This window comes from Homo sapiens, chromosome 3 (assembly GCF_000001405.40).
Source record: "Homo sapiens chromosome 3, GRCh38.p14 Primary Assembly".
In the NCBI taxonomy this organism is placed as follows: domain Eukaryota; kingdom Metazoa; phylum Chordata; class Mammalia; order Primates; family Hominidae; genus Homo; species Homo sapiens.
In genome coordinates, this window is record NC_000003.12 from 70,574,781 (window position 1) to 70,601,939 (window position 27,159).

Here is a 27,159-nt window from a genome sequence, read left to right on the forward strand (position 1 = left end):
ACTCTGCAGAAAAAATTGAAAAAGGCTGCAGTAGTTACACTTTCCAAAGACTCTTCTAACTCTGAACATCCAATGCCATCAAGATATTAAAAATCCACTTAATCTAGGCTTTCACCCACCTAAATGCCCTGTGTTCCATGCTGTCAGTCTCAAAAGCAACAGAAATCTGACACCGAACCATTGGGAGCAAGAGATATGTATTAGAATAGTAAACTGTGTGTCCCAGTGTTCCCAATCTGGAACAGGAAATGAGAAGTTCTAGAGAGCAAAATATAGACCATTTAGCAACACTTTCCATGTGGATCTCTATGCTTTTCCTTTTGTAGGGCATTTTGCCCCCAGACATCTCTTCTGTCTTTCACTCCACATTTCCACCATTAAATTCAGATCAACACAGAAAGATCTCTGGAGCTGCACAGTACAAAGAATATACCTTTCAAGGCAAAGAAAGAGAAATAGGGGAGAGTCATTATGTTTTGCCTCTCTTTCACATTAGCAACATAGAATAACATGGAATTAAGTGCCGTTCTGAGTAAATAATATCCCTCCAGGCCACTGAGAGGAAAAATGCTCGCAGTAGACTTAATCTTCACCTCTCAGCTTCCATATGATTTTGTTTTATCTTACGTTTAAGACACTTGACGTTTGGTTTGCATGATAATTTAGGTTAATAAACTGGCCTTATTTTACTATTATATTGCAAACTTCTTAAGGGGAGGAACTTTTTCATATATGACTGTGACTCCTTTATATGGCTAAAGATGTCACCAAGTATGGTGTGTCTATTTCAGTAATTCATAACCATTAATCCCACAGTGACACAGCAATGTGGATAAGGGGCAATGTCCCAGTGGAAAGAAAGCTGCATCTCCTATGGAAATATTATATCTCCTATGGAAATATTACATCGGAATTTTAGTGGCGAATACTCGATTTTACAAACAACAGCCAGCTCTAGAAGAAATGATTTTACTCTTCCTCTCCTTATTTTGTGTCATCTTTTATCATTCTGTTGAATATTTGGCTCCTGGGAACTTCATAATACCCATCTAGCTGCTTTCTAAGCAGATACAATGTTCAAAGTTCTACCCAAGCTCACATTTCATCAACAGGTACCTCTCTAGTATCCTGTGGTCTTGTTCTGCTCATTTTCTTCCATGTGACACGTTGGTTCTAAATTTAATGAGATTACATAACTAAAGTTGAGATGTACTTATTTGTAACACTGCCTAGAAATGTTAAACTGCAACAATCAAGTGGTTAAGATGCAAGCATTTTCTACGTGATATTAAGGAAAGAAATGAAGATAAGAAATGTCAAGGTACAGAAGGATGGGACCAATTTTTTTTTTTTTTTTAATGAGGAAGAGGTCAAGATATTCTCTTGTTCTCCCACCTAATCCCCACCACACTACAACCCAGGAGCATCTAAACTTTTAGACACTGAAAAGTTGTCTCAGAGGAACACTGAACTGTCTGTATGAGCCAGTTAGAAATCTTAGTATAGGCTTTGTTCTCCCTAGCTGTCTTCTAGCTTGAAGACACTGTGATTTGGATCTAAAATAATTACTGCTATTCAGTGTCATCCACACATAATTAGCCTCAAATTATAATGAATTAACATGGCTTGCCATATTCATGAAGTGAAGTGATTCTATTACTATTTTTTCCTCTCATATACTTAGAATAAAAACACTTTAAAACTTTCATCTTGTTAGGTGGGATGTTTTCTGGACTGTGAGCTCGCAATGAAGACAAAAAGTCAAGGATGGCTAGTTCATCTGACAGGCTGCGTTATAAGGCGGAGTTCAAATGATCTCTGAGCCCTTTGCTTTCTCTTAGGCGTTGCACCTGTTGGCTATCTCTTATTCCACATCTGCTCCCCATGTGTACCTGGGGAAAACCTTAGTGTGATAAAGGTTTTAGGTCACTTTGAAAGAATCTAAACCAGAGAGATTGATTTGTCTCCTTATTCTATATAACTGGGCACAGACAGATGTTATTAATGAAGGAATTTTGAATAGTAATTCTAAAACACAGGCTTTAAGAAACATGTTTCTGAGGTGGGTGAGGGGGAGAAGAGGAAGATTTCAGAGCATGAATTTACCTTTTATTGTCATTACACGTATACAGAACAGCTCCATGAAAATTCAAGACTTTGAAGGCAAAATGCTTGAGCATCCCCACTGTTCCCTGGCCTTTTCTACAGTTTTAGCTTTTAACATTTAGTCCACTGCTCAGCTCCTAAGGAGCAAAGTATCTATATATTATAGACATATATTTAAAATCAGTTCCTCCTCTGTAACCTTGGTTTGTTTTTTTTTTCACACTCTTGTTGCCAAACCATAAATTTGAAGTTGCAAACAGGGTATTTTCCATGAAAATTTCTCATGCATAAAAATCCATCTCAGATTCCAACCAAAATTATCCGAGAAATTAGTTCATTGATGAAACTCTTGTCTATGAATGGAGTTTTGAAGATAAAAATGCCTTTTTTCTTTCTTCTTGAAGGGAACGAAACAATCCCTTTATTGTCATACTTCCTTAGAATTTATTTTCCACTGCTTATTATGCATGCCTCCTTTATGTCATCGATACATAATCCATTATGTACCCCTTATCATATTTGCTCCAACTATTGTCTCAAGATGATGTCGAAAGACATTAGATACCAGAGACTAACTTTGCGGGAGTGAATTAACGTCAGTGTTGAAGGAGCCTATAATCATATGACTAAATGGGCTTTCAGGAGGCCACACCGTATGCTGATGACAGAATCAAGAATGAAACCTAGGAATTCTGACCATTTATCTTGTTCTCTGTCCACAAATGATACTTTCTATTAGTATCGAGTACAGGCTTTCTGAAAGCAGTCTATTTTCTGGTAACATAAAACATTCATGAAGGAGTTTTAAAAAATAATCCAATGGAAATTGCTTTAGTGATTACAAAAAAGTTCTGAAAGAAAATAGTGTATGCGTACAATTATATATATAGTGTTATAAGATTATTGCAACTTGGAGAGTGCATTGAAACATTTCTTTGAAAAGTTTAGCCGATTCAAAAGCTGTAAGGCCCTAGACTATCTGATAATAAGACAATGTTTATGTCATGTATGAAACTATTGCAGTGCAGGATAGGAGCTAAGAGTATGGACTACAGAATAAGATAGACCTGTGCTCAAATAGTTTTTCCATTAGCAATTAGCTATTTGATCTTAGATCAGTACTTATCACATTTGAGACCTCAATTTTCATGTTTGTAAAGTAGGGGCATTAAGACTGGTTACTTGGTTTGTTGTAAAGATTAAATGAAATAATGCATCATAAACACCAAGGCCAGAATTTGAAGATGTCCATTGTAAGGGCAGTGTGGTTTTGAAATCTTCCCCAACTCCCATATAGAAACAACATAGCAACTAGACAGCAAAACCAGAACCCTACAGACAGTATTCACAATAAGCCTAAGTGACAATGTAACAACACAAGCCCCAAAATGTAGGAAGATGAGGACAAAACAACAAAAACCACCAGATCTGTCTGTTACAGACATCTGTACAGCAGCCAGACAACCAGTTTCTGACAACCAGAATGACCAGGGAGACATCAACAGAAGACTCTTTTGAATACGTGTATATGTACTTGTAGAACTAAAATGACATGCTATAACAATGTAGACATAGTACAACTCTAAAGAAATGGAAGAAGAATGGGAGAGTTTTTGCAAAAAACTACTTACCTGTTTCTGTGACTATAATTGGTGGTGGTAGTATTAGTATTGTTCTTCTGTGACAGTGGCATTTGCAATGTGGGGTAAAGCAAATGAGTAATTATGGAATATTCCAATTCTATCATTCCCGTGTCCTTGAGAACCAGAATTAAGATTCCAGGATTCTCTGCATGTAAGAAGTAATAGACCAAAAGTTAAGAAAGTCTATAGCCCTAGATTAGAAATGGAAATCATGAATATGAACTCATGAGGCATTCTATCTTTTATATGTATAAAAAACATCGAGTATAGTTATTCTCTTTGTCTCTATATAGAGTATATACTTAATATTTTATTAATACTTAAGTATAATATTTAAATATATAATAACTCATAGAGAGAGAATGAATTATATATTTGAGGATAATATATTTTATATACTATAAAATATTATATATTGTCATAATAATATTTTAATATATAATATTCTATATGGGTACAGCTGTGTGTATAAATAGAATTTATTTTTTAGCTCTACTGGAAAGATCTAGGAACAATGAGTAGCAATACAGTCCTGAAATACTATATTCTATGAAAAGAAGGCACTGCTTCTTGGAGAAACATGGCTGATATTAGTATTTTCTGCAAAATGTATTTTTTTCAGTATGGTTTTATGATTTTTTTCTTTTTTTAAATTTCTGAGACGGAGTCTCACTTCATCACCCAGACTGGAGTACAGTGGTGCAAGCACTGCTCACTGCAGCTTCAACCTCCCAGGCTCAAGTGATCCTCCTGCTTCAGCCTCCGAGTATCTGGGACTATAGGCACGTGCCACCACACCCAGCTAATTTTTTAATTTTTTGTAGATACAGAGTCTCACCATATTGCTGAGGCTGTTCTCAAAATCCTGGCTGCAAGGGATCCTCCTGCCTCAGCCTCTCATTTCGGGCATGAGCCAATGTGCCTGACATGGTCTTGTAATTTTTTAATGTTTTCTATAAAATTGCCTTTGATCTTCAAAGGTGCATTTTGAGATTAATAAAATTGAAATTATTGACTCCTCCATAAATTTAAAAGTAAGCTTAGAAGAAGATTAAATACATGATTTACTTTTCGTCAATCATATTTGCTGAGTCCAATTAGTAATGAAAACAAAATAAATGAAAATTTAAAAATTATAATTAAAAATTTACAAAACTGAATTATGGCATGTTCTATAAGCGATATTATATCAGTCACAGTTGTCTTATATATTTATATATTTTTTTCCAAAATAGAATATTTTTAAAGATATTTTAGTGACTTGGTGGTTTCGTTTAGAAAAAATATGTAAAAGACACAAGATAGCTCTTAGAACTTGGTACATTTTCTTGAGGCAATACTCACTTTTTCAGTGTCAAAGAATGCCCATAACAGTTAATTTAGCAATTCACTTAGTTCATACCATTTGAACATCATATATGTATTAATTTGTTGTTGCATTTTTCAAGTGGACAAGTTAGCATTTTAAGTAATGGAATTATGTGATATACTTTCTATTCAACAAAGATCTTCTTTAAATTGTGCTCAAATATATAGGTCCACAGTCCTGCATATGAAACCCTTGAGCTAATATGTTTCAGGATTCTTCAGATTTACAGAAGTACTTTAGTGGAAGAAGTGTACATTACATAATGTATCCCCCCAACCTCCCTCAGTACAGTTGCGGGCAACACCTCATGATCAAACACGTAACTCTGCCGGAAAACATATGACTATTCCCACTAAGTAAAATAAATAAAAAGTATAAGTGGACTTGTGTTGGCTCAGGTCAGGTTTTGCTGCCAAATGAGTTTGTGCTGAATTTGCAGAGAGAAAAAATTGGATTTTCAGAGCTTTTCCAATTTTAGAATTGTGGGTTCAAGGATTGTAAATCTTTCTTGTTTGTATCTTAAAAAAAAAAGCAAAGCAGCATAATGATCTGAGAGGGGTACAATATCACTTCTGTTGTTACACCCAAAAAAAATGTATACCTTGTACTCAAATATGAGGAAATGTCAGACAAATTCAAATTGATACTGTGGTAGGTAGAATCATGGTCCCCTAAAGATGCCTACATGCTGATTCCTGAAAACTGTGAATATGTTACTTTACAGGGCAAAGGGGCTTTTCAGGTATAATTATGTAAAGGATCTTGAGATGGGAAGATTTTGCTTGATTAACGCACTTAGCCCAATATCATCACAAGGATCCTTATCAAAGGGAGGTATCAGGTCAGAGTCAGAGATGGAGATGTGATGACAGAAGGAGAGGTTACAGGGACATGGAGCCACAAGCCGAGGAATGTGGGCACCTTCTAGATGCTGGAAAAGATGAGAAATAGATTCTCCCCTAGAGCTTTGGAAAAGAACTCAGCCCTGCTGACACCTTGATTTTAACCTCCATAAGACTTATTTTGGACTTCTGACTTCTATAACAGTAAAAGAAGAAATTTATGTTGTTTTAAACCACTAAATTTATAGTAATTTGTTGCAGCAGTGATATGAAACTAATACAGAGACATTCTACAAAATAACTAACCAATACTCTTCAAAAATGTCGGTCATGAAAGACAAAGACAGCCTAGAGAATTGTCCCAGATTGGAGGACACTAAGAAGACATGATAAACAAATGCAATGTGGAATCCTGGGTAAGAAGAAAGGACATTAATCAGAGACAATTGGTAAAATGTGAAAAGGGCCTCTAGTTTGGTTAATAACATTGTATGATGTTAATTTCCTGATTTGATAATTGTGTTGTGGTTATATAAGATATTATTGTTAACAGACACAGAATGAGGGAAAATTTTCTACACTTTTTGCAATAATTTTGTAAGTCTGAAATTATTTTGAAATAAGGTTTTTTTTTTTAATAAAAAGGACTGGAGATAAATCAATGGGATACCACTTCCTTTCCTCAGCACTTATTTAATATTAACATAATTGACACATATTAACCTATTTATATTATTAACATAACAGTATTAACACAACACCTATTTAATGATTAATATGAACAGACTAGGCACTGCTCTAAGCTTCCACATATATTAACTAATTTAAACTTACCATGCTAGAGGTGGGTATTAAAATCTCCACTTTACAGACACTGAAACAGAGAAGGGTAGGGAAATTTTCCAAGGTCACACAACTAAGAAGAGTGCCAAAGTCTTGAGTGTATGCTCTCAACAGCTACTAAAGGTGATTTCTTACATATTAAACTTTGAGAACATATGGCATGAATGTTACTGACTTATAGTAGAGAAATTGACTATTCAGGAAACTTTGCTTATGTCCTAATTTGTATGTTCTATACTGGTGATATTGACAAGTAACTGAATCCTAGTAAGCCAAGTTGTTACCCTAGTAATATTTTCAAATAATGAATATCACAATCTGGAAACACTAGTTCTACAGAACTAAAGGAATTTTTCCATATATTACCTTTTCGTTGTGTTACTTTTCCTCATGTTGACCAAACAGCATCCTAATCTTTTAATTAATTAATTAATTAATTATTTTCTAAAATTGTCTCAAAACTTCTATTCTGCCAACCAGTTTCCCTCAAAACTTCCAGACTTTATGTCTGTCTTGGTGCTTTAAATGTAATGTCCATACTTTTGTTCTAGAGTTAAATATATCTTATACTGAAGATATTTTTTCCCACATGGCAATAAGACAGGAGGAGTGGCCAGTAAAAGTTTTGGGGAAGAAAAGATGAGTACTAGGAATTACTTCTCAAACACCTGTGTTCTAGTGATAATCTGACATAGAAAGTAGGAATTGGGGAAAAAAGGAAAGCAGTGAAGACGTTGTCTACTTTAGCTTTAAAGCATTTAGGGCAGAAAACATATTATTTTCCATACCTTATACTGAGTAAAGCATATTGTCAATACTCAACCACAATAAATAATTAGCTATATTAGATTTACATACTTAATTCATCATACGCAGAGATTAAAATCTGTCTCTGAAAATAAGATTCTGAAAGAAAGTCTTTGATATATTCTGATAGAGGTGTAAATCATAGCACTTTGTGCAGATCTTAGATAAGTTAAATATATACCATTTTACCCTTTCATTATATCATAAGTTCCTTTTTAATATTTTTAAATAAATGCCTGCAAACTGAAAGTCTAATTCTCTTTAGAGGCTTTCCACACACATCTATTCCCACATAGATATGGATATGGTTATACCTAGCTATTTATCTACATATAATATATAAAGCAATTATTCACTGGTAAATTTGTACATTTCATTTTCCAATACAGTGTATTCACTTTAATCACATACTTTCTAATCTTTTTGCCTCCTAGTCTCAGATTTTTGAATTCAAATTTTCTTTCCTTTGTCTGTATTTAAAAATAATAATAATCATTTTACATCTATTACAAATAACAATACCTAGTCTCTGATTGAATGCTAACATTGTAATTCATTCTCAGGGTTCGGCTGCCATTCATTCATAGCTGGAGCTGTGCTCTCATTATGTATGACATCAGCAGAAACTCTCAATTCAATTGCAGCCTTTTATTTAATTAGGGGCTATGTATTATTTGGTGTGTAGTATCCAGAATTAAAAATAGCCCCTTCCACTGTGTAATGGGAAAGGAAGAAAACTTTGAATATATATTCTAATTGATATTTTTAATACTTACTCTAAAAGCAATCAAAACTTATGTTAAATATTAATTATAATATTTTTCTGCTTTTGTGCACCTTGATTTATTGCTGCCCTTTTGGGTTCACTTTTAATTACATTACAGGAAAACAAAGGATATTTTTATTGGAAGAGTTATTTAGCACAGACAATACTTTCAATGGTGATGGTTATACTGAACTTTATATTAAACTTAATTTTCAAAAGCATATTTAACACAGTTTGCCAGGCTTTGTAAAAATTATTTTTCCTTCCTTTAACAACATGCCTGTCGGGTCTCTATATTAGAAATCAGGGACAAAGCTCATAAAGGAACAAAGACCCAAAATCAGGGATGGTCTTTTAAAAGAGGTACAGTTTCAAAGACTCCTAAAGATATAAATCAAAGTGCTTTTGAATACAGAGAGCATTCTAAAAGAATATTGAACTGTTTGCTTAAAATCTCACATTATTTCCTGCTTTTTAAACCCTATTCCTTTTTGAAGGCTAGCACCAGATAGGGACAAAAGGAATATTTTCATGCAAAAATCAGGGCCAGGTACAGAGGCACAGTCAGAGTCTATTTCAAGTGGGGACAGAAATTTAATTCAAGTTATTCTCCTCTTTATTCCACATTTAACAGATTTGAAGGATTTCTCCACCTCTCTGACACTTGTGCAGACATCACTAGGTAATGTTTGCACCAGTGGCGGGCACCAGGAAATCTTGGTGTGGAATTTTTTGTTCCCTTGGAACGGATTCTGAAAAACACAGCAGAGTCCAAACATGTCTGCTCAAGGAAGGTGGGGCTTTATGTTTCATGAAATCAACCCTTCTGGCCCCCTCTACTAAAGAAAGCGAGTAGTCGGTCTTTTCCCTTTTTATTAGAATCTTATGTTACCCACAGCTAGGTCTTATTCTAGATGCTATTCTTCAAAGTATAAATGAATATCTTCATACTGTTAGGAAGACAGAGATGTTACTCACCTTATTCTAGATCTATGCTTTTTTATGTTTTATTTTTCATGTAATACTTCTAGCACTTTTGCTAAATCAGTGCAAATACCAAAAGTAACTAACTGATCATTCTATAACAAATCTTACTTTCCAAAAGTTATGACCAAATACAAGGCTTAAGCCCTTATGATGTGTGTGTTTCATTAAGAAAGTGAAATGCTATACCTCTGAGTAGAGCAAGTATCTGTGATTTTTCATGTTTCCATAGCAACCTGTAATTTTTATTGAACTGTGGAATAAATAGGCAAATAAAACATGCATAAAATATTGATGGCTGTTGAGGCTGCTGTCCAGGGACTTTAGTAACTTACGGTCACTACTGTCTCTTTTTAACTCATGAAGCCATTTTTTCTAATTAAAGCATATATTTATTATGATTTCCTTATTCTTTATCTAATAGATAAAGTTTGCTTTTCAAAACAGGGTTTTCCCTGTTTTGTAGCAGACATATTGGAGAGGATACTGAGAAAGTAACATAAGCATAGAGACAAAAAATATTCCCTAAATTTTTCTAAGGGAACTTAGGCGATTTGCATTGTCCTGGATTGAATTTCTCTTTTTTGACTAATTTTTGCAAGTTACAGACAGTTCTCTATTAAAAATATATATTGCCGATGAGAAAATAACAAATGCAAATAATAATAAGCATGTTTGAGAAAGTAAATTGTTTATGGAAAATAAGTATTTCAACTTTAACTGGAAATAAAAAATGGAATCAATTAAATTGTTTATTTGAACTTGAAAAAAGCAAGTTATAAGATGAAATTGATCTAACATCCATGTATTTCATTGATGCTGATCATTATAGTACTATGTGGTCTGTGTCATTTCAGTTCAATAAACATTTATTGAGAACCAACCTTATGCTCAGTACCATGCCAATTGTAAAAAAAAAAAAAAAAAAAAGAAAAAATAGTAAAGTTTCTGAACTTAAGTTATAGCTTAATAGAAAAGTCTTGATGAAAAGAGAAAAAAAAGAACCTTAAAATCACATCTAGTATCTGGAAAAAAATAAAGCTGTATCACTACCTCGTAGCTTACAGCAAAATAAATTCCAGATTGATCAAACTAAAACTTACAAAATAAAATCATTAAAATACTAAATGAAAGCATAGACTTTTTAAAATATTTATGTAATCTTAGAGTCAGAGAGTGGAAAATTTCTACATATGATCAAAACTCAGGGGCCATTTAAAAAATGATAAATTCTGTTGCATAAACGTGAAAACAATTCACATGACGAAATAATATCAAAATGTCAAGGGACAAAGAACAAATTGAGAAATATTTTTTCTGCTTATATCACAGCGACTAATTTTTAATAGATATAATATTCCTATAAGTCAATAGGAAGAATATTTACAATGTAATAGGAAAATGAATAAAAGAACAGGAAACAGAACAAGCACATGTTTGGAAAAAAATGCTCATGTACACTCATCATAAGATAAATGCACGTTAGTGTGATACTATTTCCACCTAGCATATTGGTTAAAATAAAAAAAGTTTTATAACCAACCTGTTAGCAACAGTGTGAGTATAAATTGTTACAAGCATTTTAAGGATGCTTTCATGACTTTTATAACCTCCTTGGATGACATTCTAGCAATACCTATCCAAAAATGCCCATAACAATTTCATTTCTAGGACATTCTCATCTATGGGCAAAATGCAGGTTATTCATTGCAGCACTGCTTGCTATATAAAAACATTGGAAACAACCTAAATGTTCATTAATAAAAGACAAGTTAAATATATTTCAACACATTCACACAATGAAATACTATGCAGCCATTAGAAGAAGCAACTCTGTGAGTATAAATAAGGAATTATGTCTAAGAATATTATTAAATGAAAACAGCAAGTTGCAGAACAGTGTTAAAGTATACTCCCATTTGTGTGTATAAAAGGCAAAATATTTCTTTATGTGCTGTCATATATATAAACTATCACTAGAAGTGCACAAAGAAAATCCTTACTCTCCGAACAGATGAATTTGTAGCCTAGAGTACAGGGCTGAGATGGCAACTTACCTATCATTCTGTATCCTTCTATATATTTTGAATTTTGTTCAAGTATTTGTTGAGCTTATTTAATTAATTTTTTGAAATAGGTATTAATTTTAAGATAATACAAAGGCAAATATATAAAAGTATGCTAACTACTTGGAAAATTTTAAGTAACAAGAGACTACTCTGTGATGCTATTCAGAAAATGTTTAGAATAAATGGGTCTTGAGCTAGACTTGAACTTAAAAGTGAGATCAGGAAGTAGTATCATGACCCAAGAAGGGCATAATCATACGTTGATGGTGCAAGCTTATGGCCACATCATTCAAGCAATTATAAGATAGGGAGGAGAAAAAATAGGTGGAGATTATGGAAATAAAGGAAAAGTGTGGAAGGAACAATGATATTCAACTAGGTCTAGTTTATTAGAGCAAGATAATGGGTTTATAGGAGTTCAAAACAAATATTCAGGCTGGGCGCAGTGACTCATGCCTGTAATCCCAGGACTTTGGGAGGTCAAAGTGGGTGAATCATTTGAGGTCAGGAGTTCGAGACCAGCCTGGCCAACATGGTTTGGGAGGCTGAGGCAGGAGAATTCTTGAACCCAGGAGGTGGAGGTTGCTGTGAGCTGAGATCATACCACTGCACTCCAGCCTGGGCAACAGAGTGAGACTCTGTCTCAGAAAAAAAAAAAAAAATTCAAATAACATCATGGTGGAAAATACCATGTTCTTAATGATTATGTTGCAAAAATACCTCTTTTTGCATAAATATTTAGATGAGGAGAAGTAGCATGATGTATTAGAAGAGGCCATGAACCTGAATTCAAGAGACACTTAATCTGGTCTCTGTTCTGCCTTTAATTAGCAATGTAACCTTGAGAAGGTCGCACTGTGTCTTCAGGCCTCACTTATATTGTCTGTAATATAAGGGGGGGGGGGGGAATGTGCAGTAGATTCATAATTCCACAATCCCTTTTTCATCTGAAGAATACTTTTTTTTCAAATAAAATATGAGAGCAAACAGTAAAATTGATAGGAACAGTGTAACTTTGAATAAGGCAGGAATGGGTGCCCCAGAGCCCACCTGCACAGTGTCATTATTTCCTACCATTGCCCTCTTCAATTGAGCAAAATCAAAGTCCTGGGAACTGGCCAAGTTCGATTTAAAACTATTTTACTAAAGGATTCCTAAGGTCCCTTTTCATAAGAGCATTCCACAATTCTAGGAGATAATTGATTCACAGGTTTAATCATGTTGTGTAATTCCTACAGAAACATTTGCCAATATAGTGGTGGTGGTAGGAGGCTATGCAGGAAGCAATTACTTTAAAAAAGATTTGTTAAGCATCTTTTCACTTGGCCCCCACAATGTTGAAAGATACAAAGCTGGCTAAAGTGTGATCCTGTCCCATTCTCATTCTCACAATTTAAATGTATTGGATTTTCTTTTTAAATCTTTTTAGGGTTCTCTAATAGGCTTCTCAAATATATGAGTTGGTATCTTTTATTTGTTGGGAACTTTTGTCTCTCCTCTCTCCTAAGATGGCAATTCAATGTATTCTAGAACTTTTAACCATTTTATATGCCTCTTCTGCACTTTTCCGTTCCATTATTTTTACTTATGTCTCATTCTGAGTGTCTTTTATTGACTTGTCTTCAGTTTTCTAATCCTGTTTTCAACTATGTCCCATTTGCTTTTAAACTCATCCACTGAGTTCCTAAGTTCAAATATTGTATTTTTAGTGCTAAACTGTCCATTAAGTCATTGTTTATGATTCAACTATATCTTTTGAAATTTTCCTTTCCTTACTTTGTCTTTTTCTCCTCGAACATATCAGTCAGAGCTATGTTAAAGACTTGGTTGGCTAATATCAGTATATGGATTATCTGTGGGCTTGTTTCTATTGTCCATTTTTTCTCTTCATTGTTGTTTATGGCCATTCCTTTTCTCACGTGTAATCATTTTTAACTGTATTTGAGACATTGTATATGTTTAAAAACTGTAGAAATTTTAAATGGTGTTCACTTCCACAAAAGAAAGTTCCTCTTTCCTCTGTTTAGCAGGTAGTGTGAGGGGTTGATTAGCTAAATGAAGTTATGGAATGAACTAGATTAGCACTGGGCTATAGCTTTTCCACCTATCTCTGTGGAGGATTCAGTTCTGCCCTGTAAAAATGTTCAGCTTGGCTCTTTGACTTTTTGCCTCATGCAGCTTCAAAACTTAGTAAATGTATTAAGGTCATGTATTGGAGGCCCTCGAGCTTTCAACCTTCTTTTGTCAGACCACACAAATATCAAAATATCCCTCAAGGTTATCTTTCTAGTTTTCAGCTTCAGTTGTATCTAGAATCAGTACATAGCCCCAGATCACGTGAGCTGCAAAATTGTCTTCTTACTCCATAAGACAATTAGACAAATCCTAGTACATTTCAAAAGCCATGTTTTTATAGTTATCAGAAAGCAACAAAAATCAGTCAGATTAAAATGCAAGAGAAGGGAGAACCAGTAAGAGGTGAGTTAATGAGCTGATGAGCAGTTCCATAAGAAGCCTCCTTTTAGGGTTCTTATCTGTTGCTCAATTTGTTTCAGGCCTTCTCTTCTAGAAGCTTTTTGTTTCCTAAGTTTGCAAGATTGTGGAATTTTTCACTCTCCTTTTCAGGATCTTTTAGTTGATTTCCTTGGCATCTCATACATTCTTAGACTCATCAATTTATGGAGAAATGGGCTGTCTGTTTGAGAGCCCTCAAATCTCCAAATTTAATAAATTTGATTATTCTGGGTTCATTTGCTCACTAAAATCTTTACTTTTTGTCTTTTTTTATAGTGACTTTCTGCTTGCACCCAGATCTCATCCTTGTGCCCTACTAGTATAACAGATACCTCCAGGGAAAGAACTGCTCATCAGCTTATCAACTCACCTTTCACTGGTTCTCCTTTCTCTTGCATTTTAGTTCATCTGATTTTTGTTGCTTTTTGATGCCTATGAAAATATGACTTTTGAAATGTATCTGGAATTGTCTAATTGTCAGTGGGAATATTCATCTGCAGTAACCTACTATACCCTACACAGAAGCTGAAGTTCACAACCCAGATTTTTGAGAACCTTAAAATCTAAGCAACATGAGACAAATTTTAAAATTTTTAACATATGCTCTCATACCGTTTATGTTACTATATATGAACAGATGTTTCTAAATCATTTATAATATAATAGCATGGCACATTCTCTGGTTATGTCATATAAGATGGCATCAACAAATATGCTAACAATCAGGCCAAAATTTAATTGTAGACATACAACTCTATATCTAGTTAGCTAGTAACTTTATTCAGGAAGGCAGAACTCTTTAAAACACATTAACACTTTTTAATTTTTGTACGAGAGTAATTATATAGGATCAAGTTAGATTAAATTTTGAATTAGATACTAATTTCCCAGGGTATAGAAATAACCATACACTAATCATAAGTAGTATAATGGAGGAAAAAGTGGTATTTTCTACTGCTATATGTATAACATATAAGAGGTATAAGCTTATGTTGTATTTTGAAATTCTAAGACATTGATGTTGCTATCATTTTTTTCACCTCCCAGAATATATCAACACTCATTTTAAATTATTTCTTCAATTAACTTCAGGATATCCATCATGCTAAAATTTTTAGAAAGCCTAGAGGGCTTAAGAAATTGTGTGTATGTGTGTGAAAGAGTGTACTTAAGAAATGAATTTGGTTTGCCTACCGTGGATTACTTGGAATTTATTTTATTCTTTCTTTTGTTCTTGGTTTCTTTATATTTTAATCAGAGTCATATTTGTAAAGCAATTTAAAACTAGATTAAAATTTAACCTGCAAAAGTGTTGCGTGAGAAATGAATTAACTCCTTCTGACATTCTATTTTTCTCTTGCCCTTTTACCTCCAGGACCTGTTACAAGCAATAGAACCCACTGTAGATTTTTTTTTCAGATAACACTTCACTAAACCAGTGTTTTCCAAAGCATCATAGGTGCATGAATTACCGAAATTAGATTATTGAACATGTTGAGATTATTGGGTTTTACTTCAGACAGGGACCACTGACAGTAGGACCAAGAATCTGCATTTTTAATGTGTGTTGTCCATGCAGTTGCCCAACGCCATTACCCAATGACTACTCCATTAAAATAGCATAGGACAGTGTCACCATTGACTTTTTTCTTGTTCACTTGAAGGATCATTACCTTAGTTCCCACTGCAATGCCCATAGTGGCTTCCTACATCAGCAATAGTAAGGAACTGGCCTTATTTCCCTACTCTTATCTACCTCTAGTGTCCTCCGAAGGGCTCCTCACGATCTGCTCATTTTCTATTACACTGATCTCACTAGAAGCTCTTCCAATTCCTATCTTCTTTATTCCATATTCCAAGACATTCAACTATACCTGTGTACAGGTCTTCACCTTTAAATTTCTCTTCTCAGGATCAAACCTGGAGGGAAATGTGTTACTTACCACTGGACATGTTATTTACCAAATGAAAACACAGCGGCTTGTGATACTTCTGGTGTCTATGTATTCTCTTGCAGTCAGAGTCAGTTATTTTCCCAGGCCTCACCAAGTGGGAAAACTCAACGGAAGTTTTGAGCATGGAAGATCCTTAATGAACCTGCTTAGTTCTCACCATTCCTTCAACTCTGAGTAATCAGAGGCAAAAGATAATAATAGACGACAGGAGCAAAACTAAACCTCACTTGTTTTGTGTCCAGACTGCTCATTAAGAGCAAGGGATTTGTGGTCGGACTGCCAAGATTCAAATTCTCCTTTCATGACCTTAGCCAAGTTACTTAACTTCTTCAACCCTATATATCTGCATCAAAATGGAGGAAAATAATAGTCCCTGATACCTCAAAATGTCTTAGCAAACTGTTTTTACTGAATTATAGCGCATACAGAAAGGTGCATAGTTTATAAATATGCAACTCAATGAGTTTTTACAAAGTGAACACACTCTCATATACATAGCACACAGATCAAGAAACAAAAGGTCTCCTTCTCCTCACTTCTGATCAATACCATCTCACCAATATTTGCCACTCTCATGACTTCTAGCATCACAGATCAGTTTTGCCTATTTTTAACTTGATATTTACATGTATACAATTTGGTCTCTTTTCTGTCTGGCTTCTTTCTCTTACTATTACATCTGGGAGGATCACCTTGTTATTCCATGTACTTATAATTTGTCCATTATCGTTGCTGCACAGTATTCCCTTTTGTAAATATAATATAATTTATTACTTGTTTTATGTGGATAAGTATTTATTTAATTTCTAGCTTGGAGCTATTTTAACTATTTCGCCATATGTATTTTTATTATATATTCTTATGTATGTCTTTAGTAAATAAATGTAAACATGTCCATTAGGTATATACTTCAGAAAGAAATTAGTAAGTCATAAAGTATGTGTAGATTCAACTTTAGGAGATCTGCCAAACAGCTTTCCAGTGTGGTTGTACCAATTTACACTCCCACAAACAGTATATGAGAGTCCCAATTATTCTATATTATTATCACTGAAGGCTATCATCTTTTTTATTTTAGCCATCTTGACAGGTTGAGATATTGCCTTGTGGTTGTAATTTTCTCTTCCTTAATGACAAATGCAGTTGAGTGCCCTTCACATGTACTCATATTACTGTTATGAGAACTAAAAACTATAGACAATGTAAAGCTCATTGCATAGGGCCTAGCACATAGCAAGTGCTCAACAAAGTTAAGCATTCTTACTTCTTACTCCTTTGCCTGTTGGATTGCAATGAAGAACCACCGGATGATCTCAATATTGCACATACCTACTTTTTAATAATCATTATTCTTTGCCTCTTCCAGTTGCAACAGCAAAAGCCCAGACAACTAGACAAATCATAAAAGAGAAGCTTGGTTAAAGGAGAATAAGAAGCATATTTTATGGCTGTTTCTATTTTAACTAGTATAAGCAACAGAAGTTTATCTTATTGAGCACCACTGAATTAGCACAAATGAAATATAAGCTCATTAATCACCATTTATTGATTTACACCTCGCTAATGCAATCATTTAGGAAAGTAGCTGTTAGGTAATGGTATCTCATTATGGTTCTTGTGTAATTTCCAGATAGGAATTATTATCAAGTATGTCAAGTGGGAATCCTGTGCACTGAGTTTGCGATTATCCATCCGCTCAAACAGTTGTACAAAATACCACCAGGGACGTTTCCAACTAGCCAATAACGAATAATGTAGTTTTCCTTGGCCACACTTTAAAGGGAGTTTTCTTTCTTGGCTTTTATCATTCAGTCTGGAGTTAAAGAGGGATGTAGCAACCATTTCTGGTCACATTCTGCTCATTTGAGTGCAGTCAGAAGAGAAATGCAAGCATGAAATATGGCCAATAAAGGGAGCAGAGGGCTTTGAAGACTGGGGGCTCGACCATGTAAGTGAATTGGTGTCCATTCAAAAATTTAAAACTAGGAATGACATTGCAGAGGACACAAAATGACCTTAAATTTTGAGCTGTCTAAACAATGCCAGCAGGCAGACCTTAATCAGTGCCATCCAGCATATGGACAAGAAAATTTATCCCAACAAAGTAGCTTTTATTTTTTGAATTATTGAATTGTTTGTTGTTTCCTTTGCATGAATGCTGAGTAGGGAACCTCCCTAGACACATCCTCATACATATATTTAAAATGTGAGTTGATAAATAAATTCACTGGTGTGGGATACAACACAAACTATACAAATTAAGAAATTTAATTTTTCTCACTTCTGAGATTATCATGGGCTTTGAATATACTGCCTAACACGTATACTTTGAGTTGTGCAATAAATCTGTAATTTGAACCACTTGATAAAGAACTGACTATAAAGCTTAAATACTATTTGAGTCAACAAATATTTAAGTAGTCGCAGACTAGGTGCAAGGCTGCATTTAGTAATGTGCTAAATGCAAGAATACATACATATGTAACTTTAAATCAAACCAAGGTATGGAAAGTGTAATCATAAGCAAGCCCACTCAAGTGGGTATGCAGCTTGAATACAAGGTTTAGAGCAGTGGTTTTCAACAGGGGCCATTTTTCCCCTCAGAGAAATTTGAAAATGTCTGCAGATATTGTTGGTTATCACAACTAGGGTAAAGAGAGTGCTGGCATCTAGCAGATAGGAGTCAGAGGTCCCGTTCAACATCCTGCAATGCGCGGGCTAACACTCCACAACAAATAGCTCTTTAGCCCAAAAAGGCAATAATGCTGAAGTTGACAAACCCTGATTTATAGCATTTAACCTTATCCCCAGGGTCCAGAACAGAGCCTGCCACATAGAAGGCTATCAATAATTATGTTTAAAGAATGAGTGTACTATACAGTTACTAACCTACTCAACAGAAAAGTTTGTTTAATACCAGTAATCAAATAAGCAAATTGCATGGTATGTGAATCATATCTCAATTAAAATATTAGAAACATCATATCCGTTTCGCTTTCTGTGAATATAATATTTGGATTTTTTTACAGATGTTCATATGTTACTTTCTTTATTTCCTTGACAAAGTAGAAAACAGTTTAGCATTTGAATATTGTAATAAGAAGTAATGGTTTGAAGTCAGAGAGACATGAATTCAAATCCTAAATGACCGTCAGTTTCCAGGACTGTGAATTAGGATAAAAGTAAATAAATATGGGAAAAATACGCAACTAAAATGTACTCATTTTGCCAGGTGGGGTGGCTCACATCTGTTATCCCAGCACTTTGGGAGGCTGAGGCAAGTGGATCACTTGAGGCCAGACTGGCCAACATGGAGAAACCCCGTCTCTGTTAAAAATACAAAAATTAGCTGGGCATGGTGGCGCATGCCTATAATCCCAGCTACTCGGGAGGCTGAGGCACAAGAATCTCTTGAACCCAGGAGGCAGAGGTTGCAATGAGCTGAGATCATGCCACTGCACTCCAGCCTGGGTGACAGAGCAAGATTCTGTCTCTAAAACAAAATAAAATATACTCATTTTGTAATAATGGCTAATAGAGTTTCAAGTATAGCACAGGATTGTCACGCAGATTCAGTTGGCTGTATATTATCCCTTGGTACTATTGGTTGGCAGGCAGGATTCATTTCTATTTGATGAAGGAATTACTTTATTCTGGGCTATTGCTCTATGAAAGTGTCATCAGGTCACCTAAAAAGTCATTTTGAAGTAAGAGTTACATCAACAATATCAGTCTCTTCAATGTAGGGAATTTCTACAAGCCAGGCACTGTGCTAAACACTTCATAGGCAGTTAATACTGCAGTCCTCAAGCGAAATGATGAGATTGGGATATCAAGGCTTAAAAAGATTTGGCCACACAAGCAGGAAGAGGCAGATCCAGTTTTCAACAATACATTCCCTCTCCAAAATGAAAACTCTTCTTCACTGTGAATGACTGTGTCCTGGAGCAATCAGGAGAAAGCTTCATGAGGGATAGAATTTATATGCAGTAGTGAGGAGCAAAGAGGGCTGATGAAGATGGAATGAAAAAGAAAGTAAACTCATCTCCCGTCAAAAGCTCAAATACTTTGTATTGTACAAGTTTGTTCTTTAGAACATTGTGTACAATAAGGCTTCATTAAAGTCAACTTTTATGACCATCATTAGGTTATCATGTAAATATTATAGACTAGCATATAACCATTGTAGTTAACAAAGCAGATGTCTGTGCACTGACTTGGAAAGATGGCATTTTTGTTATGAAAATGGAGACAGGATATAGAATGAGGTATACATATATCCAGATGTGTGTGTGTGTGTGTGTGTATTAGATAAGTCACAATTGTACACAGGATTGGAAATAGTGCCTACAAAGGAAGAAGAGTTTATGGAGTGGCATGAGTGATGGTCAACAGGATTTTTGCTTTCTTTCTTCTCTCTCTCTCTCTTGCTCATATTATGTTCACAATGCCTACAATTTATTAATTTAACACACACTTATTGTGTACCTACTATGACCAGTCACCACTGTTCTAGACATTTGAGTTTCATTCTTGCTCTATAATTAAGCAGTATATGAGATTGTTTCATTGGTACTCAAGCCACAATCAGGGAGTGAGCTGATGAGATCCTGGACTACCAAAGTCCTTTTGGGAATGCAGGGGAAAGAGAGGATGATATCCATCTAATATGCTTCTTGTGAAATGGAGTGTATGTGTCTCTCCCATAAGCCCCTCCATAGCAGCATTTGGTGAAGGTCTGCAGGGAAAAATCAGCCCATACATTCAGTCCCCAGGAGAAAGAACCATTTCCTGAAAACAAGGAAGATTGAGGGATTTTTAAAGAGCCTCTTCAGAGACGATTGTTCCTGCGTGACTATAATATGACTATTTATTCATACAATACTTTCCATAGATTCTGATTTTATGCTGCCATAAAGTAAAATTTTCAGAAACTTGGTGGTGGGTAACATAATGCTATCAATGACACTATTAATTAATGAAGAATTCTACTTAGTGAGGGTGAGCATCATATTCTTCTGAAAATGAATCTTGAGAGCTTCCTTGATTATACTGTGATTCTGCTTCCATTATCATTTAGAGATTGGGACATGAGATGAGACTGGTGATTATAATGATTTAAGAGGAGAAATAATATGTCAGAACTATGGGAGATTCTATAATTTCATGGTCTATAGCATAAAAAAATACATCACATCACTACATCTGGGTGTGTTAAATTTTAATATTGGCTGTTGTCATACTTTTCACAATATACCTGATTGCAAGTTTATCCTGAACTCTCCTGATATCAGTGATATATCTATTGCAGTTACTAATGAAGAAAAGAGAATGTAATAGACTTTTATTGGAAATTTCTTTAGGGTCTAGGCCATAATGGCATATATCAGGGGGAGGAGAAATTTTTCATTACGTATTTCCTAGGGATTCTTCATAATTTCACCTAGCAACATTACAGACCCTAGACCCATGGGTGCTTCAGCTGGTGCCGACTGGAATTGCTCCGCTCTGCAATGCAGTTAGCCATATGGAGAACATTATACCTCCAATCTGAAACCTGCAATAAAGATCTTTTTGCTTTCTGGAGCAATTTTGGGTTCTGAAATTTTAGTCTTTAATTTGGGTCCATAACATCTTTAGAAGCAAGAATTTTTAAGTATCCCAATATCTGTTCCTGAGATTGTGTGTGGGTGACTTGAAGATTTTGGGTTTTGATGCTTGAAACCTTCATCATTAAAATGAAACATGAAATAATTCAGATGCTTTCCAGTCAAGAGAAATTTGGCATCATGATGAGTAGTCAACCAACAGAGTAACTGAATTTTCAGTTTCTATCTGAATATATTTATATTTTTTATAAATAGATAAGAAAGTCTAAGGAATATAAGTACCAGATTATTTTCCTCAGGCATCAGATATCTTAAGAAGTGAGGTTAAATAAATTTTAAGTTTTTTACTTTCAACTTCTAAAAATCACATTTCATTGAATCTAAGACGCGCTGATTTTTATAATGCACCATTATTTTATCTACAACTATGAACTGTAATTTTAAGACTAATCCCAATTTTGAGAAAGGAAGAAAAAAAATCTTAGAATCAATAAAACTTGTAAATCACAAAGCAATGTATCTTGAAAAAAAGCAAACAACACACAAATATGGAAGTATTATCTACTCCCATTGGAAAGCTCTATAAATAATGTGTTCTGCATCCCCCATAATTGTGTAAACAGTTCTTTACAAGATAAAATTATTCAATATATTTTGTATTGCAACTGACTTTTATCATTCAACAATATATTAGGGACACTCTGCCGTAACAGTTATCTCATTTTAAAAAATAACTAAAATAATATTTAGAAGTGTCTTTTCTGTCTTTGGGTCAGAAGTTCTAAACTGTGGGCCACAACCCACTGTTTTAAATATCAATACATTTCATATACATTTCTGGTTTCCAGTTTCCCTTGAAAATCAGGCAAGGGCTACACTTTCATATGGTGACAGTTGGCTATAGGCAACTAATGACTGTTCCTCTAGTTGGAGGACATCCCTTTAGCCCCCCAGTTCACCATGTTTCCCATAGCTTTCTGCTCTCATTACATTTCTACCTAGCCCCCCACTGGTTTTAAGGTTTGCAACCCCTAAGTGAAACATTTGGAAAAAAACTTAATATAGGAAATCAGGAAGACCTTGTTGTTGCATTCCAAGTTCACTTAAAATTTTACGTAATTTTTCACTGTCTACCACTTCCACCATCTAGTTTTTACTCCTGCAACATTTACATATCTGATTCAAACTTTGTTCAATTCTCCTACTTCCTTAAAGCTGCAGTGAGAGGAGTTACCAGTACCATTTTATTGGTATCATTTGTTTTATGATTTTTTTCTATCACGTGCATTTCATTTGACTCTCAGAGACCCAATTACATTTTCACATTGGTAGTTTTTTATGAAACCTCATTTCTGATGATCTGTCATAGTCCACCCAAAATGGAAACATTTCCTTTGTATTGGTAGCTATGTCAACATTGTTCCTGAAGCCCAACTTGGCCACTTCTTTAGTCATTGTTTCCCTAGAGCCTATCCTTTTGTCACCACCATTTCTTTAGTTGGGAAAAAAAATTGTGGAAATGTCTGAATAGAGAGAGATCTGGTGTTTCATTTGCTGATGTGGCCCATTTTCTAGTGTTACAATTGGTATAGAACTATATTGGTTGGTAGTACTAAACAAAAAATTTCAATTCTTCTTAATAGACTTCTTATAACTATTTCACCACTTAAACTGATTTCTTGGAGACATTCTTAGTAAAACCAATGTGCCACTATTTTCTTGAATTTGTATATTCTACAAAATAAAATAAATTTCCGTAAAATAATTTAAATGTAATCTTTATATTTCTGGAAGACATCCTGACATATTTCTATTCTGCTTCAAACCTAAAGTAGAAAAATAAAATGCACAACATTGAATTATCAAAATTGTGTGAATATCAAAGAATGAATATCATAAATTTATTCCAGAGTACTTGTTTATATATGTCACAACTAGATAAAAGGCTCTTTCTGTGCCACTTTTCTCTCTGTCTCTGTCTCTTTCTCTTTTTTCTTTGACTGTATATAATGTCATGTCAGTTGTGATAGCCAGCAAGTATTGTTTCCCCTGAGGAATGATATGGTAGGACTAAAAAGGGACAACTTACATTAAGGGGCTTAAACTGTAATGGCGTTATCTCTTGAAAACACCCAAGTCTCTTAGGTAGACTTCTTCCCTTGGGGAGGAAAGAAAGAAAGCAGAGAGCCTCCTTGGTAAGTTGCCATTAGATTGTGTCCTCTGCATTATAAATTAGATGCAAAGATGTATAAACTAGGAAGTTTTCCAGACTTACTCTTAAAGAAGTATTGGCATTTCCCAAGACTTCCATGAAAGCAAGATTCTTTGGACTATCACAAAGCTCAATGCCAGCATGAAAATTCTGTGTGCTCTGTGAGTGTGTTGAGTAATGGGCAGTCAGGAATAGAGCCAATTGTGTGGAAGCCATTGAATGCACGTGCATTTCAGAGTCATTCAGCTATCATTGCCTTTCTTAGGTGGGCCAAAAATTTAAGACATGGAGTAATATTATCTCACTCTGATTAGATATCGTAATTCTGATGACAATTTCTAAATTTTCTAAATTTCTGATTATAAAAATATACAATATAGAAAATCTTAAAAATATGGAAAAATAGAAAATAAAGTTCCCATAATGCTAATATTCAGAGACAGTCTCTGTTAATATTTTTATGTGTGTTAATTCTAGGTGAGGGGAGGTTTTTTTTGACATATTTAAAATGTTTGAAATTATACCATATATAAATACTATACCCTGCTCTTTTCAATCAATTTATAACATACACACACACTCATGTATATGTATGTGTACATACATATACATACACATATATATATCTGTACATATGCTTATGTACATACATACACACATATGTGTATGTGTATATGTGTGTGTATATATGTGTATGTGTTTATACATATATACACACACATATATATGTCTGTGTATATATGTCTATATCTGTATATATGTATATACATATGTGTACACATATATACGCATCACATACCAGAGCCATCTTCCCTAGCTTGTTGAATGCACACATACTGTATGTTGTATATACACACATCTGTACAACATATAGCAGAGCCATCTTTCCTAGCTTGTTGAAAATTCCTGAAAGCATAATTTAATGACATTATTGTGCAACTGTCCATTGTGTCAACATAATAACACTTGTAAACCATTCTCCTATTTTTGGTCATTTAGTTTGTTTTTATTTTTTTGCTGTTATAAATAACCACATTACAAAGCAATTGTAGTGATTCTTGGTGAATGAAATGAGTGGGTAAAAGGTATGAAATGTTTAAAGACTCAATAGACATATTGTCAAATTATTTGACTAAACTATTATTACCATCTTACCTGCATTGAATGAGTCCCAATTTCAAACCAGTCTCATTGGCACTGGGTAACCTTATTTTCTAAATGGTCCTTTTAATAAATTAAATTTAAAAAATGTTATCTTTTGTTGTTTGAAAGTACATTTCTTTTTTCATGGTGAGGGTGAATATTTTTCCATGTAAGTATTTGCTTTTGTAAGAATCACTGAATTGCTACAAGACAACATTACACAGAGAATGTTGTCTATGCCTATTTGAACATCAGGCTAATTTTTTTTAAAAGTGCTTTTCAGTTTATAAACTGCTGTCACGTACATAATTACCTCATTGGATTCTGACAACAACCTTTTGAGATAGGAAAGAACAGGTATTATTTTCCTATTTAAAAATGAGGCAGGTGAAGTTCAGAGAAAATCAGGAACTAGCCCAAGTTAATCTAGTTAGCAAGCAGAAGAGGGACTTTTGTTTTGTTTTGCTATTGAATCAGAGGATTTCAACAAAAACCGGAATTTATGTGAAGTGAGGTCCAATTAAGGCAAAATGGAAGAAAGTAAAGTAGGAACAACTATGTAATTCCCTTCTTTAGCTCTCTATAATAGAACATAAGGCATCAAGAAAAGGAAGGTATCATTTTTTATATGGTGTCTAAGACACTCCAATTCTGAATCAGGATAAATATTTAGCAAGAGAAAGAAAATGTGAGCTGAAGGGCTGTTTTTCAGACTGTTGCCTCAGAAAATGTTAATCTTTAGCACTCATGAGCTTAAATATAAGAGGACAAAAAGAAGTACTTAAGAGGTGTGCAGAGGACTGGCAATATTTTTGAGGCAATATTTTTCAAGAGGCCATGGCCAATTAAGTAGTGTCGAGTGTATGTTCACAGCAAAGGGTTTGCTTCTCCTTCTTTATTGCACAAACGCTAATTGCAAAAAGTAACCACTTCTTCCAAGATGCTGATTTTGGGGAAAATATGGCATACAAATGTCTGCAGTGGGCAAGTGCTCTGTTTTGATTATGTAATCTCATTAGAAACATTGGACTAGATATCCTTTATTTGAGTCTTCCCATTGATGAGAAATCACACAACTTTCTAAAAAATGAACCTCTGAGCTTTTTGTTCTTAATCAATTCCATCCATTTTTATCGATTACAAAATTTGCATAGGCACAGTATAATTTTTACACCAATGGTACATGTATTTTGGCACAATGTGACCACATATAAGCTATATAATAACCAGGTGGAACTGGAACTTAGGTATTATATGTGCTATCATTTGGTGCCATCTCACTTGAGAAGTAGCAGTTGTATCAGTTAGGATCCTTCATTTCAAGCAATAGAAGCTGATGCTGGTAATCTTTGGCAAACAGAATTTATTGGCAGGCTCTAAGGGGCTCACAAAATTAATCAAATCCTGGGAGGCCATTCTTTGAATACAGGCATAAATCTGCAACGTTCTAAATGACACTATAGCAAGAACTACAGAAAAATATTCACATCAAAAAACTAATCAGACCTGCCCAACACAGTTACAAATATGATCCCAAGCATCCCCACATCCTGTGTCACTAATTTTGAACTCAAAATCTAGAAGGAGAGGCTTCTAGTTAGTTAAGATTGTATGTGCCTATTACCTCAAAGTAGGAAGAGAGACCTGTTCAATTTTGTGGTCAGCAGCAGCTATTAGTTTACAAAAACTGTACATAATTTGGAATTACCCAAAAAGGGGACAAAGGAATTTCTTCATAGGGCAAGACGAAATTCAATATTAAAAATATGGAAATTAAATGAGAGTCTATGTAACTAGGAACGTTGAGACTACCAGCCATCTCCTCAAGCCCTCTTCCTACACTTAACCAGCACAAAGTGGGCAGGCGGTTGTATATCTTACATGCTGGGTATGGGAGGATTTTTCTATAGTGAATCCAACCAGCCCAAAAGCACCAACCTTAAAAACACTGACACTGGGGTTTTCCCGATGAACCAGCCTAGCTATATCACCTTGCGGTGAGATGCAATGTCCATAGACAACCACTCATGCACATAGAGCTTTTCATCAGCTTTTTAGCCTCCCACTCTTAAGAATATAAGCAGACAAGCAGAGACTGCCAGATATCTTAGCAAAGCCTCCAACATGAAAGGCAATTGCCTCAACATATAAATAGAAAAAAGCAAACTGCTGGGAGCGTGGATATAAATTTTATATATATATATATATATATATATATATATATATATTTTAGTGTCCTCAGAGATAAGCGATAATATTACATCAGTGACACAAGAAGAGACATTTAGATAACAAAA

General features: G+C 34.5%; 1 long non-coding RNA gene across 1 annotated transcript; it reads right to left on the bottom strand.

Moving 5' to 3' along the window:
- Nucleotides 1-212: 212 nt before the first annotated feature.
- Nucleotides 213-23,679, bottom strand: LOC105377152 (uncharacterized). The gene is made up of 5 exons (XR_001740559.2): nucleotides 23,597-23,679; nucleotides 17,163-17,288; nucleotides 3,738-3,894; nucleotides 1,117-1,173; nucleotides 213-433 (listed from the first exon to the last, which is right to left on the bottom strand). It is a non-coding gene; the product is annotated as an uncharacterized LOC105377152 (long non-coding RNA).
- Between the last annotated feature and the right edge of the window lie 3,480 nt (nucleotides 23,680-27,159).